A 14,103-nucleotide genomic window follows, 5' to 3' on the forward strand; every position below is an offset into this window, starting at 1 on the left:
TTCACCAAGGCTTGGGTGCTGGAGGTGCTCCTGCTGCCTGCAGGTCTCAGCTTAAATGGCACTTCCTCCAGGAAGCCTTCCCTGACCACCCACTCCTGACCCCGAGCCTGCCTCTGTCACAGCACAAATCCCAGTTATTGTCATCACTCACCTAATTGTCCTCCTTGCTGAACTGTAAGCTCCACAACACACAGTAGGTGTTCCTTCAGTCTGTGGTTTGCTGAATACAAGCTGTGCATGAGGGGAAGGCATCACCAAGTGCAAGCAGTTACGATGCTTTTCCTCCACCAGAGGCTGGACATACTGCTATGAAGGATTCAATTCATGTAAAATGTTAGGTACATAAAAGCTGTGAGCCTTCAGCTTTAGGAGGTCCCAAACGTGCTCCGTCAGAAAGTCCCAATTTCCTCATTTCTCTTTGAGGACATTTTTCAGAGAGGAAGAGAAAAGCCCTTGGGCTTGTTAGAAAATCCCCATTACTTCCCCTGAGGGAACTTGAGGAAACAGGAGGCAGGACCAGAAATTGCAGGCTTTGGCCTCACCAGCATGTCTCCTGCCATCCACCCACCCATCCATGCAATCACTCGTTCATCTCCCATCTACCCATTTATCCACCCATCATCCAGTTAGCCATCATCTGTTCATTTCTCCATCCATTCATTCATCCATACGTCTTTCCATTCATCCTTCCATTCTCCCAGGCATTCAACTACTATCCATGCATCCATCTATCCATTCAGTTACCCATCCATCCATTCATCTATCCATCCACCATCCATCTATTCATTCACCATCCATCAATCTATCCATCCATTCACCTATCCATCTATCTACCCATCAATTCATCCACTATCCACCCACCCATCTGTCCATCCATCCATCTACCCATCCATCTATCCATCCACCATCTATCTATTCATTCATTCACCGTCCATCCATCCATCCATCCATCTACTTATCTACCCATCTGTCTACCCATGCACCTATGTATCATGAAGCTGCAGTGGTTGCACATCCACCTGGGCTTGACAACAGGGACTCTTGTCTGAAGTGTCAGAGCCAGGATCTTGATCAAGACAAAGGATTTCATCTCATACCATCTGCACGCTGTAGGTGCCATGGGTGGGTGGCCCTTAGAGAAGGGTATTTTCTTTCAAAGCACTAATGAAATGGGCCTGTGCATGATCAACTTCTGAATGCTTATTCAGTGGCAGAGCCATCTGGGAGAATTTGGCCCTGAGGGCAAGAGGGGGGATCAGCCTTGGGGAGACAGGTACCCCCAGCACCTTGGCAGCAATGCCACTTTCACAGACGCATAGTGTAGCCTGAGGGAGCTTCACAAGTAGCAAGCTGGATGAGGCCACCCCTTTTAGGGATCTCCTAAAAGGTTGCCCAGGGCCTCTCTCCAGCCTCGTGCCACACCCGCTCCTCCTCCAGGCTCAGACCCACCCTAGGGCCTTTGCACATGTTGTTCCCATGGCCTGGGATGCTCTTTCTTCTCCTGCTCATCCTCCCATTCTCGCTGAAAGCCCCTTTGTCAGGGTCCAGGTCCCCAGGGATGCCCCAGCCAGCGCCATCACAGCTGTGGTTTCACTCTGACGTGATCTGCTCAGGTCCGCCTCTGCCTCTCCACTAGAGGGTCTGCTCTGCACAGCATCTAGGGGCTGCATGCGATCACCCCCATTCCCACTACCTGGCCCATAATAGATGCTCAGTAAATAGGTTTCTCATGAACGCAGTGATTAGTCACGAATCGCCCAATCCAGTTCTCTCAAGGGAACAGGGAGACGGAGCCCAGGAGGAGGGGTGTGTGTGCCCATGGTTACGGCCACACTGTGAGCCAGTGGCGAGGTGGAGGCAGGACCCCAGGCCCTCTTGGGCACTCTGTCCTCCACCTTTCTCAGCAAGACCGTGAAATTGAAACTGGCTGCTTAAACAGCCCCTCTGCAGCACTAACGGTGGCTGTTACTGTTACTGTGAGTAATATGATCAGACCACGGAGATGCCAGCGCCTCCGAAGCACATCCTGCCACCATCAGTCCTTCTTCCTCTGAGCCTCAGTGTTCTCATCTCTAAAATGGGGCTGTAACAGCAATCAGGTGGAGTCAGGAGGTGACTGGGAGTTAGCAAGTAGAGTCCTAGGGGTGGGAAGCCAAGTGCCACCTCTGGGTGGCAAGCACGTCCCTCCCCAGACTATGGGGCCCCATCCCTTGCCACCTGTCTGAAGCGGACCCTGACCCTCTCTTGTCAATCCAGGTACCGGAAAGTGGTGTCCAACGTGTGTGAGGGTGGGGTGGACATGCAGCAGAGTCAGGTGCAGCTGCAGTGCCCCCTCACGCCGCCCCGGGGCCTGCAGGTCAGCATTCAAGGCGAGGCGGTGGCCGTGCGGCCTGGAGAGGACGTCCTGTTTGTGGTGCGGCAGGAGCAGGTGAGTGAGCACCTCCCAGCAGGCTCCTGGGACTGTCGGGCAGGGGCGGCTCCAACTGGGCACGCAGAAGGCACGGTGAGGGTGTCTCCTCCACCTAGAAGTGGCTCAGGGCATCGTCATCAGCCAGCCTGTCCAGACTGAAGGAGGCAGCAGGGGGCTGGAAATCCGCTTCCCGAGTCGAGACCAGCATTTAACAATGAAAGAGACATGAAGGAGAATAGAGTAGGACGTAGGGGGTATTAGGGTCCCCGCAGAGCAGAAGGAGACGTGGTTTCACACATCGGGTGGGGGAGGGTGTAGTTACTGGCCTTGGTATAAAATGTATTCATTCCCGTGGGTGGTAATACATTTTTAAAGCCTGTAATTATATTGATTTAGTTAATTTGGGATCTTATGAAAAACAGAAAGTTAAAAACGCTATTACTTATAATTACACAACCAAAAATAAATCCTGTGTGTGCATGGACAGATACAGATATAAATACTCACACAAACACAGATAGAAATTTCCTCCCAGCCTCCCAGGCTTGCTTTTTTTGCTTTAGAACAAGTGTTATATTTTCTTCTGACGTTAAAAATAATGAATGTTCATTGTAGAACATTTGGAAAACACACACAAAATATCAAGAGTATAAATATGTCTCAAAAAGCCCCCCAGTCCTCCGTGGTAACAACTGTTAGTTTTTTGTATTTCCTTCTAGTCCTTTTAAATTAATTTGTAACATGCTTATTTTTCTGATTGTTGAATAAACTAATGCTCATTGTAGCAAATTCAAAAACAAAACCTAGAAAAACTTACAAGCATTGCAGAAAATTCGAGATGACAGAAAAGGGCAAAAGAGGGTTCGATGCATCCGTGTCGCACCCGGAGGGTGAGCGCCTAGGACCCTGGGCTCTCTCCCGGCACGCAGCTTTCCTGGACACTTGGCTCTCCGGTGAACAGTACGGGAGATGCAGCTAGTGCGGCTTCACAGTGATGTGTGTCCTGTTTAAATGTCCTTCAAAATACGGTGCCAAGGTGGGGTGGGATGTTGGTGACAAAGGTCTTTGGAGTTGGAAAGCAGGGAGCCTGGTCTAAGGCAAACATGGAAACTGAGGCCCAAGACGACGCAGAGCAGTGCTTGCCCAGCGCCTCCGTGGCGGGCGCTGTGCACGAGCCACTGCCTGTACTCCTGGCCCCACCTCAAGTGGCGTCCTCTTGCCAACCTGCTTTATAGCTGGGGAAACTGAGGCTCGGACAGAGAAGTCACTCTCCCAAGGCCACACGGGAATGAGTGGCAGGGCTGGCGTTGGGGTCCCTGGCCCCTAGACTCTACGTGGACAGAGACTGAGTCTGGGGCCCCTAGACCTGAGCCGTTCCCTGGTGCAGGCTGCTGACGGAGATGGGGCCTAGGACCCACACTCCTCGGAGCCAGGGGCAGCCCTGGGGCGCCTCTGTTCGCAGCAGCATCTTGGGGCGGCAGGAGGACAGAGCCGCTGCCCCGCCTGTCCCGCTTGGACCCTCAGAGTAGACCCCGCTGCGGCTGCCCGTCCGGGGCCGACTTCCAGGAAAAAAATGGCCCTCTGCTGCCCCCTAGAGCCTGGCGTCTCGGCAGTGCAGTCGCATCTGCGGAGTGTCTCTATGGGAGCCAGTCTACCACCGCCCAGGGGGCCGGGACCCTTGCTGGGCCTGCTCTGCTGGCAGGAGCTGGAGTTGGCGGAAGTGAAGAGAGTGATCAAAAGATGCTCTTGGTGGGGAGAGTCAACCCCCACCCCACTGTGCACCTACTGTCGGGAAGAGGCCACCCGCTACGCTAGGGAAGCTGGTGGGAGTGTAGGATCCAGGTCCGAGGCACACACTCACTGGTACACACGCTCACACATACACACAAACACACAGACACACACATGCTTACACGCTCATGTATTCACTCTCAAACTCGCAGATTTGTACACACTCACACACTGTCTCACACACACAGGCCAACCTATCTTGCAAACAGCACTGGGTTTAGGGGAGTCTAAGTTTTGTAAATATCTTAAGAATTAAAAATAAGGTCTGATAGAGGCCCCAGGAATAAACCCATATAAATATGGCCGAGGGATGTTTGACGTCGGTGCCAAAACAACTCACTGAGGGGAGGGCTTATTCATGCAATAAAAATGAACCTCAACCTAAACCTCACACCCGATAGAAAAATGAGCTCAAAATTGCCTAGATTTAAATGTCGCATGTAAAAATCATAAACCTTTTAGAAAAACCACAGGAGAGAATATCTAGGGCTAGGAGAGGAGTCCTCAGACTTCACACTGAAAGCCAGTCAAAAGGAAAGTTGATAAATTGGGCTTCATCAGGATCAGCCACTTTCGCTCTGTGAAACACCCATGTTAAGAAGATGAAAGGCAAGCTACAGAGTGAGAGAAAGTATTTGCAAACCACATATCCAACAAGGACCAGTACCTAGACTAGAGGAAGAACACTCAACAGCAAGGAAACAAACCGTCCAGTTAGGAAATGAGCAGAACTGAAAAGACGTTTCACCAGGAGAATGGACAAATGACAGGTAAGCACACGAAAAGATGACAAACGCCATCAGCCGCCAGGGAAGCCCACAGCCAGACATCACTGCGCACCTATCAGAATGGCTGACATTAAAAATAGCGCCAGCATGAAGTACCGGTGAGGATGCAGGGAAGGACACTGGATCACTTACGCATGGCTGGGGAGACTGGAGAATGCCACAGGTGTTCTGGAAAACACTTCAGCAGTTTCTTAACGAACTCAACATGCAACGACCAGAGGACTGAGCACTTGCACTCATGGCGGTCATATCAGAGTAATGAAGACTTCTGTTCACACAAAAACCTGTATGTGTCTGTTCATAGCAGTGTTATTCACAAAGGCCAGAAACTCAAACCGCCCAGGTGCCCTGCAGTGGGTGAATGCACAGGCTGGGGTGCCCCCATGCTGAGATACCATGCTGCAGTGAGAAGGAATCCATTATTAATACCTGCAGCAGGGCCCAGCACGGTGTCTCACGCCTGTGATCCCAGCAGTTTGGGAGGCCGAGGTGGGTGGATCAGCTGAGGTCGGGAGTTCGAGACCAGCCTGGCCAACATGACGAAACCCTGTCTCTGCTAAAAAAAACAAAACTTAGCCAGGTGTGGTGATGCATGCCTGTAATCCCAGCTACTTGGGAGGCTGAGGCTCAAGAATCACTTGAACCTGGGAGTCGGAGGTTGCAGTGAGCCAAGATCCCACCACTGTACTCCAGCCTGGGCAACAGAGTGAGATCCCGTCTTAAAAAAAAAATAATAGTAATACCTGCTTCAACCTGGATGAGCCTCAAGTGGATTATGCCGAGTGAAAAAAGCCACTCCCACATGATCCCCTGCTGTGCCACTCATTCATATAACACTCCTGAAATACAGAAATGGAGAAAGAGAATAGAAATTATCAAAGTTATAGAAATGGAGAAAGACTAATGGTTACCATGGAGTTGGGCTAATGTGCGGAAGTGGGTGTGTCTGCAAAGGGCACCCGGTGGGGTCCTAGTGCTGGCTGAATTGTCCTGTCTCTTTCCTGTATCAGTGTTAACCTCCTAGTCGTGATACTATCATTTGGCAAGATGTTAGCCTTGGGGAGAGCCGGGTACGGGGCACACAGGGTGGATCTGTATCATTCCGTACAACTACATAGGAGCCTACCATTATCTCAGAAGACAATGTTTAATTTTTCTTTAAGCACCAGTAATAATAATGGATATAAATGAAATATACCAGGATGTGAATGGAGGGTATTATGGTGAGATTTAGTTTTGTTCTTTTTCTTTGCTTTACTATTTGTATTTTATATTATTTTCTACCTTGAGAATATACTACTTTTGTGGTCAGGAGAAAAAGACAAGTTATTTTAACCAACTGAAATGTTTAAGAAGTTAAATGTGCATCAGCGCAGCCCTTGAAGGCAGGAACACAAGGCCCCGAGAGGTGGCGCCTCACCCAGGTTGAGCGGATCACGAGTCCTGACTCTGGGTCACACATGCCTTCTCCTTCCCAGGATTAGCACAGGAAACACTTCCCTCCGTGGAAGCAGCTCAGACTTGAGCGCTTCCCCTCATTCCCCGCCCCTCCCTGAGAGGCTGCCTTTAAACAGAAAGAACCACAACCAGCGAGCAGCCTCCTGGGTCCTGGGCTTTGGAGAGCCTCAGTCTTCTAACCTGTCAAATGGGGAGAACGGAGCACCCTGCAGCCTCCTTCCTAGGGACCCCATAACAAATTATCTCATGCCGGGTGGCCTGAACCCACACAAGTCTCCGAAGGAGAATCCATTTGCACCTCCTCCAGCTTCCAGGGCTCCCGGCACTCCTTGGCCCCTGACAGAGTCACTCCTGCCTTTGCCTTCACCTCCACGCAGCCTCTGTCCGTGCCCAAATCTCCCTCTCCTTTCTCTTACACAGATGCCTGTCACTGGATTTAGGGCCCACCCTAATCCAGTATGACCTCATCTTAGCTAATGACACCTGTAAAGACCCTATTTCCAAATGAGGTCACATTCTGAGGTTCCCGGTAGACGTGAATTTTGGGGAGACACTGACCAGCTCAATTTACCACATCTGTGGAGAAAGTTAAGTGAACAGAATTTACGTAAAAGTTTTCTATCAACTTACAACGTTTGGCTGGTATAAACTGAGAAGATGGCTAAGTGGTTAGTAATCACGCTGTTTCCTCCATCATCACTAGGAAACGGTTTCCTCGTGCCCCTGGTGCCGGCGAGGGAGGAAGAGGGAAGGGGAGGAGAGGAGGAAGGGAGGGAGGGAGAATGTGATCATGAGCCATAAATCGAAGAAGTTCCTGTTTCCTTCACTCAATCCCCCACCTCTGCGAGGGAAATGCGGTTATTGGAAGGTGGAAGGAGATGGTGGAGCGGCCTCTCTGGGTGACTCGGTGCCACGCGGGGATGGCAGTTGGTGGGAGCTCCTCTCTGCACTCACCCTGCCCCATCTCAGCGTCACTCCTGGTACCGCATGGTCTGAGAAAGAGAAAATTAAGAACCGCAGCTTCCCAGAAAGGAAAATCCTGCTTGGTTTCCAGGCAGGCGGCTTAGGCACTTCCAGATGTGTTCCTCTCCCCTGCCGAAACCCTCCTCGCAGTGGGAGGCCCCTCACCTTCCTGGCTCCATCCCTAGCACGGGCCTCTGTGGGTCTCCCCCGGGCCCTGACTGCCCCCCAGCTGCTCTCTGATGACACCCTTGGGCCTCTCCCTCTCCCTCTCTGCCGCTGGGTGATTGTTCTGAAATATCCCTTGGCCACAGCCCCTAGTTAAACCAGCTGCCTTGGTCAGCCCCATACTCCAGGAAGAATCTCCAGGGCAGAACCAGGCCCGGTCTCCTGTGGGTCCCCAGAGCCCACTCATGTCAAGGAAGGGAGGGCGGCAATGAATGAATGAGTGAGTGAGTGAGTGAGTGAATGAACCACTCTGGCCCCTCAGCTTCAAGGCCCACTCCTGAGTGGCCACATGGTGTTTCTCTGCAGGGTGATGTCCTGACTACCAAGTACCAGGTAGACCTTGGGGACGGCTTCAAGGCCATGTACGTGAACCTTACACTGACCGGGGAGCCCATCCGGCACCGCTACGAGAGCCCCGGCATCTACCGCGTGTCCGTCAGGGCAGAGAACACGGCAGGCCACGATGAGGCGGTGCTCTTTGTCCAGGTCAACTGTAAGTTTATTGCCCCTTTGAGGCCAAAGGTCACTCCCTTTGAGAGAGAGAACCTGGCTTTGGGGGAAACACAGGGAAGCCCCCGGGATTGCTCTAGGCCCCTGGTACTCAGGACGGTGAACCCGAGGGCAGGGAGGCAGGGAGGCTGGGCTCAAACCCGCACCCCTGATGACCCATACAATAGTAGGGCAGAGCTGGTAGCTGGTGGTGATATTGATGATAGTGGTGGTGATGGTGGTGGTGGTGGTGGTGGTGGTGATGGTCGTGGTGGTGGTGGTGATGGTGGTGATGGTGATAGCAGTACTGGTGGTGGTGGTGATGGTACTAATGATGATTATAGTGGAGGTGGTAGTGATGATGGTGACGTTGGTGTTGGTGATGGTGATGATGGTGGTGGTGGTGGTGGTGATAATGGTGACAATGGTGGTGGTGGTGGTGGTGATAGGGTGATGGTGATGATGGTAACAGTAGTGGTAGTAATGGTGATGATGGTGGTGATAGGGTGTTGGTGATGGTGATAGTAGTGGTGGGAATGGATGGTGGTGGTGATAATGGTGACAATGGTGGTGGTGATGGTGGTGGTGATGGTGATGGTGGTGATGGTGGTGGTGGTGACAATGGTGGTGGTGATGGTGGTGATAGGGTGGTGGTGATGGTGATAGTAGTGGTGGGAATGGATGGTGGTGGTGATGGTGATGGTGGTGGTGTTGGTGATGGTGGTGATAGTGCTGGTGAGGATGGTGATGGTGGTGATGGTGGAGGTGATGGTGGTAGTTATGGTGATAATGGTGGTAGTGGTGATGGTGGTGGTGTTGGTGATGGTGGTGATAGTATTGGTGGGAATGGATGGTGGTAGTAGTGGTGATGGTGGTGGTGTTGGTGATGATGGTGGTGATGGTGCTGGTGAGGATGGTGATGGTGGTGATGGTGGTGGTGATGGCAGTGATGATGGTGGAGGTGATGGTGGTAGTGGTGATGGTGGTGGTAGTGGTGATGGTGGTGGTGTTGGTGATGGTGGTGATAGTATTGGTGGGAATGGATGGTGGTAGTAGTGGTGATGGTGGTGGTGTTGGTGATGGTGGTGATAGTGTTGGTGGGAATGGATGGTGGTAGTAGTGGTGATGGTGGTGGTGGTGGTGGTGGTGATGATAGTGGTAGTGGTGGTGGTGATGATAGCAATGAAGTTGCTGGTGACAGTGATCACTAAGCAGCCTCTGAAATGCCCCATGCCCTGATATCATCTAACCCTGGCCTTTTTGGGTCCCCACAGCCCCCCTGCAGGCCCTCTACCTGGAGGTGGTTCCTGTCATTGGCCTCAACCAGGAGGTGAACCTCACAGCTGTGCTGCTTCCCTTGAACCCTAACCTCACCGTCTTCTACTGGTGGATCGGCCACAGCCTGCAGGTGCGCTGGCTTTGCCCCAACTCAGCCCTTCTTCCCGCAGGCTCCCCACAAGCTGCACAGTGGGGCAGAGCATGGCCCCAGGTTTTCAGCAGAAGGAACCAGTGTAGGGTGCACTCCTCACCCTTGGGCCCCTCCTGGGGCAGTTGAGAGGGGCACACCCTCCGTGGGTGCCTTTTCAGGGCCCATCTGCTCAATGGTGCCAGATGAGTCAGACTAGACCCTGCCTTTTCCCGGGAAAGAGATGGGAACGCAGTGGATTACCTGAGTTGGGGGTGGTAGAAGTCACAGAGGCAGGTAGGTGGGCTGCATGAGAGCTCCCGGAAAGGAGAGAGCATTTGCAGTGAGAGGCTCAGGGAAGGCTTTACAGAAGAAGAGGTCAAGGGGGCTCAGAAGCCTCCCTCAGAGGCCTGGGTTGTACCCTGTCTGCAGTGGGGAGCCACAGATAGTTCTTGAGCAGGAGAGAGCCCAAATTAGCAGAATGCCTGGACTGGGGGCAAGACCCAGTGAAGGGCATCCTCCACTCATTCAGCAAACAGCCCAGCACCACCAGGCAGGAAGCCCCCTACCAGCAGCTGACGGCCCTGACACAGAGCCCCAGCAAGGGGAGGGCCTGTGGGCTCTGGATTGTGTTTCTCTAGAATGGGGAGGGTCTGAGAAGGAGCTCAGGGTCTGGGTTCAGGCCTCGGCTCCGCCACTTCCAGCTGAATGCTCCACACATGTCCCTTCACCTGGCAGAGCCTCTGCCTCCACATCCACACCCATGGGGGTGGCCTCTCCTGTCTCTGCGGCAACATGGCGCCCACCCGGCTGAGTGTGCACCATCCCCATGGCTGGGTCCTGAGCTGGGCACTGGCTTGGTGCCATGGATGACAGAGCCATGGCTCATCCACAGCTGCGGTGGCCATGTGTGGAGATGGGAGATCACATGGGCAGGGAGTGAAGGCCCAGCCCGGCAGCCACATCAGGCCTCCTAAATGCCCGTGGGGGGCAGGCCTGGGGAGCTGTTGAGAAGGAAGGGGGTGCTGGGACCTCAAGTTCGTGCTGTGTTGGCTTACAACCAGGTGCCCATGAGATCAGGAGTTTGAGACCAACCTGGCTAACATGGTGAAACCCCGTCTCTACTAAAAATACAAAAATTAGCTGGGCATGGGGGTGCATACATGTGTAGGCCCAGCTACATGGGAGGCTGAGGTGGGAGAATACTTGAACCCAGGAGGCAGAGGTTGCAGTGAGCCAAGATTGCGCCACTGCACTCCAGCCTGGGCAACAGAACAAGACTCTGTCTCAAAATAAAATAAAATAAAATAAAGAACCGGCTGCCCGCCCCATGCCTCCCTGGGTGCTGCCACCACAGGATGTCCATAATGGGCCCATTTGCTGATGGGAACAAGGGGACAGCAATGCTCTCAGTGAGGCAGCGACCATAGGCCAGCGTCCCCCACGGCCGCTGCCTCACTCGGCCAGGCCCCTAAGCCCTGCTGTGCCCCTGCAGCCCCTCCTTTCCCTGGATAATTCTGTGACAACGCGGTTTTCGGACACGGGCGACGTGCGTGTGACGGTGCAGGCCGCCTGTGGGAACTCGGTGCTGCAGGACTCCAGGGTCCTCCGTGTGCTGGGTAAGTACTTCCTGGGGTCTGGCAGCACGGCCTCTGCATCTCTGCTGCAGTCCAGGAAGCCAGGCCACATGGGTCGCGTAAGCCATGGATGTCCTGGTCACCCTGAGTGGCCCTGGGGTGGGGAGGGAGGGGCTGGATAAACAGAGCCCTGCCCTGGCTGTGTGGCCTGGGCAAAGTCTCCCGGTCTCTCTGGCCTCAGTTTCCCCATCTGTAAAATAAATACTGACAAATCCTGTGTCCCAAGACACTCATGGGACAGAACACACCAGGGACAAGGTCACCCAGCAGCAAGACAGCCAGGTTTGGGCACTGGCTGTGCCTGCCTCCAGGGCCCCTGTCCTCTTGGCACCTCTGGCCAAGCCTGAGCATTGTCTCATGATGGCAGCTTAAAGAGGACTCCTGTCTAGAGAAACGCTGAGCCTCCTTTTCTGAATCTGCATCCTCATTTATCTGTGCTCACTGGGGGCTCTTAGTCCCTCGTGGGAGATATATACAATACCAACTGGTCCTAAGACTGAAGGAGACCCCCCCCCCCCTTGTCAAGGAGGCAGAGCTCATTGCCACCAACATCACAGCAATAAACCCTCATTTTGCTTTAAGAACAGCCTCTACTGTGGACAGCAGCCATCAGTTAAATATTTAGTTGGACAAGTGTGCGGAGGGTTGGGCTGCCCACACAGGCCCTTCACACCCTGGAGGAGGCTGCCCTTGGCTATTCTTCATTCATTGTTGGGCTGGGAGCTTTGCAAATGCCATCACCACCCTCATTGTAAGATGTTGGGTTTGCAGTCCTCAAAGCACTTGTCCCTTGAGCCCGTCAGCCCTGCACAGCCTCCTCCCACTTTACATGTGAGAAAACTGAGGCCTGAGAAGTGGAGAGGTTAAAGTTTATCTCTGGAGCCCCTGGTGACTTTAGAATTGGGCTTTGAGCCATGGACTATGGGAAATGTGGGAGAAAGAGAAGAAGACAGGGCCTCTGCTCTCAAGGGACTCTTAATCTGGTGGGAGGACCAGCAAGTTGAAGTCCATGGATCCCTGATGGATGAGAGGCTGACCTCATAGGGTGTGTTCATGCTTGTGAGTCAAGGAGGCAAATCTCACAGAGCAGGCTTGGTGCACACTAGGCCTCCCTCCTGGGTCAGCGCATCTTTATCATCATCACTGGCATCTTTGTCACTGCTGTTATGAGATGGCAGCCAGTGACATGGGTCCTGCCTGGGACAGACCACCACTGCTGGCATCCAGGGAAGGAGCTGGTTTCCAAACACTAAATCAGGACTGCTGTCGGCCTGCTTGAGAAGACGATGGGGCTGCTGGGCCCTGGGATCTGAATCAAAGGCCTCCCGGGACCATCCAGGGCATGTGGCTGCCCCCGACCCCCACCCTGGAGCCGTCAGAGCCAGGCTGTCCAGAACTGACCAGTCTCCCTTCTCTGCGTCTTTCCAGATCAATTTCAAGTCATGCCTCTGCAGTTTTCCAAGGAGCTGGATGCCTACAACCCCAACACCCCTGAGTGGAGGGAAGACGTGGGCCTGGTGGTCACCCGGCTGCTCTCCAAGGTGTCCACCCAGAGCCTAGAGCCTCCCCAGCCCCACGGTGCTTCCGGCATCCAGAGAAGCCCAAGGGCCCCGGGGTGCTCAGGGAAAGGAGAGGCGGGTGGCACTGCCCCCGCACACGATGCTCTGGTCTTCGGGCCAGCTGGGGATGTTGAAAGCTATGGATGGGGGGCAGGCACACTGCCCTTATTTAGGAGGACCTGCAGCTGGAGCACCACCTCACAGGGGAGGGACCACAGGCACCCTCCATGCACACAGTCCAGGGACCACCTGCTGTTTGCAGGAGACCCCACTGTCGTCCTCCAGTGCTCCAGAGTCTCTTTAAAGCAATTTTCCTTCATTCACTGAACTTCTCTTCTGGGCTGGACACAAGACAGAGAGAAGAACCCAGTGTGCTCACTGGCCTCAGGAGCTCCCGGGTGGCAGACATCAGGGCGGGCTGTAGCACACCCAAGGCCCTTGGCCCCCAAGTGAGAGAGGACCAGTCCTCTGGAGCCACCTGAGGCTATCACAGGCTGAGGCCTACTCTGACCAGGCTTCCCCTCCCGTGAATAATGCTGGTAAAAGGGTCCTGGGCACTGAAGGTTGAATCAGGGTTTGCCAGATGGAAGTGCATGGAACGGGACTTCCAGGAGGCAGAGGCACCTACATGAGCAGTGCCTATGGGCTGAGAGCATATTCTCTGTGGGTGTATGGCCCTGGCTGGGCCTGGGGTGTTAGGGAGTGGGAAGGGGGAGGCAGCTGGAGTCAGTGGGGCCCGGTCACAGACCTGGAATGGTGTGGTAAGGAGCCTTGTGATGGAGGACATTAGCCAGGGAGGAAGGTGCTGGTGCTCACTCTAGTCATGGTCTGAAGAATGGACTGAGGGCCAGGCCTGGCCAAGGGGAGGCCAGTGTGACGGCACAGGTCCTGAATAGCAGGGCTGAGGGCCCTGGGTAGCTGGGTGCAGGGGGTAGCTCAGGGTACCCTGGGACCCTGGAAGGATCCCCACGCCATGCAGGGGTCAGGAACGGCCTGTGAGACAGGTGTACAGGCCAAGAAGGGAGAGAGGGTGTTCCTGGGGGCCCCAGTATGAGGCAGGGAATGAGGAAGACAGGCGGACCAAAGTGGCTTAACTCTCCCCGCAGGAGACCAGCGTCCCTCAGGAGCTTCTGGTGACTGTGGTGAAGCCGGGGCTGCCCACTTTGGCCGATCTGTACGTGCTCCTGCCCCCTCCCAGGCCCACAAGGAAGAGGAGCCTCTCGAGTGATAAGGTATGTCCTGTGGCCGCTGCACTCCCAGGTCCTCCCTGCACATCCCAGGGCTCGGGTCATTTACAACAAGCAGGGACGTCTCAGTGGCTCATGGCATAAAGGCGTCTTTCTCGCTGCATCTCAGTCTGACTCAGGGTGGCTTGACC

General features: G+C 54.0%; 1 protein-coding gene across 9 annotated transcripts in view; it reads left to right on the forward strand.

Annotated features, from left to right (window-relative positions):
* SORCS2 (sortilin related VPS10 domain containing receptor 2) overlaps positions 1 to 14,103 on the forward strand; it is a 550,290-nt gene that overhangs the window by 523,218 nt on the left and 12,969 nt on the right. For all 9 annotated transcript variants that reach the window (XM_005247987.5, XM_011513515.3, XM_011513516.3 and 6 more), the window contains 6 exons: positions 2,257 to 2,428; positions 7,942 to 8,128; positions 9,399 to 9,532; positions 11,025 to 11,148; positions 12,595 to 12,707; positions 13,832 to 13,957. In XM_005247987.5, coding sequence (XP_005248044.2) covers positions 2,257 to 2,428; positions 7,942 to 8,128; positions 9,399 to 9,532; positions 11,025 to 11,148; positions 12,595 to 12,707; positions 13,832 to 13,957 — 856 coding nt within the window. The remainder of the gene's footprint in view (positions 1 to 2,256; positions 2,429 to 7,941; positions 8,129 to 9,398; positions 9,533 to 11,024; positions 11,149 to 12,594; positions 12,708 to 13,831; positions 13,958 to 14,103) is intronic.

Source organism: Homo sapiens, chromosome 4 (assembly GCF_000001405.40).
Source record: "Homo sapiens chromosome 4, GRCh38.p14 Primary Assembly".
Lineage (NCBI taxonomy): Eukaryota > Metazoa > Chordata > Mammalia > Primates > Hominidae > Homo > Homo sapiens.